Source organism: Homo sapiens, chromosome 12 (assembly GCF_000001405.40).
Source record: "Homo sapiens chromosome 12, GRCh38.p14 Primary Assembly".
Taxonomy (NCBI): domain Eukaryota; kingdom Metazoa; phylum Chordata; class Mammalia; order Primates; family Hominidae; genus Homo; species Homo sapiens.
The window spans coordinates 117,385,662-117,389,452 of record NC_000012.12 but is presented as its reverse complement, the minus strand read 5'-3'; the positions used below and the strand labels follow the sequence as shown (position 1 = coordinate 117,389,452).

General features: G+C 50.1%; 1 annotated feature.

Moving 5' to 3' along the window:
• Positions 382 to 882: an enhancer, noted in NCBI's record as "H3K4me1 hESC enhancer chr12:117826376-117826876 (GRCh37/hg19 assembly coordinates)". NCBI's record gives its function as "activates a minimal SCP1, AML or CMV promoter by ChIP-STARR-seq in primed H9 embryonic stem cells {active_cell/tissue: H9 hESC(primed)}" and the evidence as "EXISTENCE:reporter gene assay evidence [ECO:0000049][PMID:30033119]".

Here is a 3,791-nt window from a genome sequence, read left to right as displayed (position 1 = left end):
ATGGCCAGGGGTTGGAGGTGTCCCAGCCTGCTGGGTGACTGTGCCATGTGGAGGTCTCTCAGTCTCATCCGGGCAGATGGCATCCCCGGGGCCCATCATTCATTATCACAACAGCAGAACCTTGCCACTTTCCACTCTAATGCCCCTGTAATCAGCCAAGAAACCCTGCAATTTGATATTTGGAAACAATTAGCCCAGTTCACGGCCTCTGCAGCATCAATTAATGCGGACGTGGCCATAAATTACAGGGAAGCAGGAACTGGCGCAAGAGGATGAGGTCACAGCAGCCACAAACCTTTGGCTCAGAGGAGGTTCCCTGGGAAGGGGAATGACCACGGGGGGTCCTTGTCTTCTTCAGTCACACAGGTGGGGCCCCTCTCCCCCAGGAGTCGCCAAAGACCCATAGCCAGAAGCCTGTGGCCAGGGCCTCTGAGCTCAGGAACAAAAGTGCGTGGCCAAGAAACCTGGAGTGTCCAAAGCTCAGGCAGGCCAACTCAGCCATCCTGCTGCCCCCACGCAGGCCTGCCCCCATGCTCTCCTCCAGCTAAGAGGAAGATGCTGCAAACCCCCAATCTCTGAGTCTCTCCAGAACAGTCTCAGCTCTGCATGACCCTCGGTGCAAAATAACACTGGCACCCCCAACAACCCTGCCGCAGTCAGAGGGTGCTCCCTGGAGTGCATAAAAGGCTTCTTAGGGCTCCTTTCTCAGAAGTCTCAGCCTACACTTGTCCAGAAGCAGATGCCAAAAAGTCAGGCTGACTTTGCTTTGGGCCCCCTGCTCAGCCACATGCTGGCTATGTGACCATATGCAAGACTCATCCCTTTCAAGCTTCAGTGTCACCTCTGTAAAATGGGATTTAAAAAAAAAAAAAAAAAGGTAGACAAATGGGCCGGGCTTGGTGGCTCATGCCTGTAATCCCAGCACTTTAGGAGGCTGAGGCAGGAGGATCACCTGAGGTCAGGAGTTCAAGACCAGCCTGGCCAACATGACAAAACCCCATCTCTACTAAAAATACAAAAATTAGCTGGGCGTGGTGGTGGGTGCCTGCAATCCCAACTACTCAGGAGGCTGAGGCAGGAGAATTGCTTGAGCCCAGGAGGTGGAGGTTGCAGTGAGCCAAGATCACGCCACTGCACTCCAGCCTGGGTGACACAGCGAGACTCTGTCTCAAAAAGAAGGCAGACAAATGGGTTTAACACAGTGCCTAGCACATAGAAAGCATGTGGTTAGTGGGGCTTGCTGCTGGCAGTTGCTAGAGCAATAGTTAACAGAAAAATAGCAAAAATCACAGAGGGCTTCAGAGCTTACAGAATACCATCTATTCTCCCAAAGGTGGGGAAAAGGAAGCAGATAGCTCACTTCATTTCCAAGCTCGCCCACGTGGTTCTTGGCAAGCCTCAGGTTTGTGCTCTCTGGCTGCAGGCTGGAGGCATCAGCTCCGTGCCACGTGGGCCTCTCCCTAGGACAGCTCACAACCTGGCCTCTTGCTTTTCCAGGGCTCTTAGGAGAGCAATGGCAAGAGCAAAGGACAGAAACCACTGCCTTTTTGTCACCCGATCTCAGAAGTGCCAGCCCGTCGCTTTTGCTGTATCAATTCATTAGAAGCAAGTCACAACGTCCCACCCACACTTGAAGGGAAAGGAGTCACAAGGGGTCTGGCTGTGAATACCTGGCTGTGTGACCATATGCAAGACTGAGCTGGGGCATCTTGAAGGCTGCCTACCCCTGAGGGACAGTTAATGTCCATACCAAGTGCTAGGCCCTGAGTAAATGCTTTTCAAAATCGCTGGAAGGGCCAGGCACAGTGGTTCACACCTGTAATCCCAGCACTTTGGGAGGTCAAGGCAGGCAGATCACCTGAGGTCTGGAGTTTTGAGACCAGCCTGGCCAATGTGGTGCAACCCCGTCTCTACCCAAGATACAAAAACTAGCTGGGCACAGTACCAGGAACCTGCAGTCCCAGCTACTCAGCAGGCTGAGGCAGGAGGATCACTTGAACCCAGCAGGTAAATGTTGCAGTGAGCTGAGATCACACCACTGCGCTCCAGCCTAGGTGAGGGCGAGAGCGCAACATTCGTCTCAAAAAAAAAAGAAAGAAAGAAAGAAAGAAAGAAAGAAAGAAAGAAAGAAAGAAAGAAAGAAAGAAAGAAAGAAAGAAAGGAAAAAGAAGTTGGAAGAAAGGTTTTCAAATATTCCCATTGCAGGCATCACCCTGTTTAATCCTCTCTATGACCCCATGGGGTGAATAGTACCTGCCTCTGGATTGGGAAGAGCAGAACCTGTGATCATCCAACAGAGAAAAAGGTGAATTCTCTCCTTAAAAATATGGGGAGAGGGAATGCTGGCCAAAAAGCAAAATGGATTCTAAGAGACAAAAAGAAAAGGAAAAGAAAAGTCTGCCAAACACCATGACTATCCCTATTTTGTAGGTGAGAAAGTTGAGGCTCACAGAAGTTAGATAATTGCCTAGAAATTGGGAGGAGCTGCTGGAATTCAAACCTGATTTCAGCATTAGCATCTCAGTCCACAAAGGTCAGGCCATGGTCCTTGGGACAACTACCATGGACTGTGTAGGCCGCCCTGCACTTGGAAAGTTGAATCTCTGATTAATGGGGTCAGGAAGCCAGCATCCTGGCTGGACAGGGGAACCTTGCAAATGAACCATAATTCAGTAATGTGATTTCCTCGCCTGGGGCACACTGGGTGTTCTGGGCTAGGAGAGCAAACTCCTTGGCCGGTCTGGCTTGGTCTCATTGGGGACTTGAAGGGCCCTTAATGATTGTAGCCCAAATTTCCATTTGGGTTAAAATCAGAACAGAGCTAATCCCACTGGGAGGAAAACAGCCTTGAACCCCCGAAGGTAGCAAAGCTAAGTAGCAAATGAAGGAGGCAAATGAAGAGGCCCTCCCCATCCTGACCCCAGCTCAGACCAGGGCAGTCTTCCACATGTGGGTAGCGATCATACCCAGAAGGGATAAGGACTTATGCCCCAGCCAGGCCTGGGTCCCCATCCCACCCCTGCCACTATCTGATTGCAGGACCCTGATCAAGCCACAAAACCCTTCCAAGCCCCAGTCTCCTGACTTGTAAAATAAAAGTGACGATTATCTAAACTCACAGGACCGTCATGAGGATAAGGAAGTGGTGAGTTTGCAAAGCCACTCAACACATAGTAGGTGCTTTGTAAATAGTCACCCTTCTTGGTGAATGGACACACCAGGCAGAGACCTCCACCACCCCCATGCCTTCATGTTTGTGTTCCTCATGCCGGGCTCAGACTTGGTCCACAGTCACGTTTAGTTAATCAGGGAGATAATCAAGGAAGAATGCAACTTCTGAACCGGGTGAAGGCTTGGGGGATGCAAATTCAAGAATTTGAGCCATTCTCAGATGTTGAGTCCATATGAAGTGGGTCACGCTCCTATTTTTAAAGAAAGCTTTGACCAAATAAGTCAACAATGTTTATTTCCTCTTTACCTGACAATAAGAGTGTATTTTAACCACTGCAAAAAGCCACGTGCCCCCCCAACACCTGAGAGGTAGCCCTGTGTGAGACTGGTTATGAGCAGCTCTTGTCTGTCACTGAAGAGGGTTCCCTAATCCCCTACAAGGACATAGATGAATCTGGGGTGCCCTAATCCCCTACAAGGACATAGATGAATCTGGGGTGCCTGCCATATGCCCTGCTCTGCACTTTTCTGCCTGAACTACGGCAAGTCTCAACTTCCTAGAAAACCCTGAAATAATAATGTACTTTGCTCTGTGACCTTGGGAGAAAGACTTCACCTCT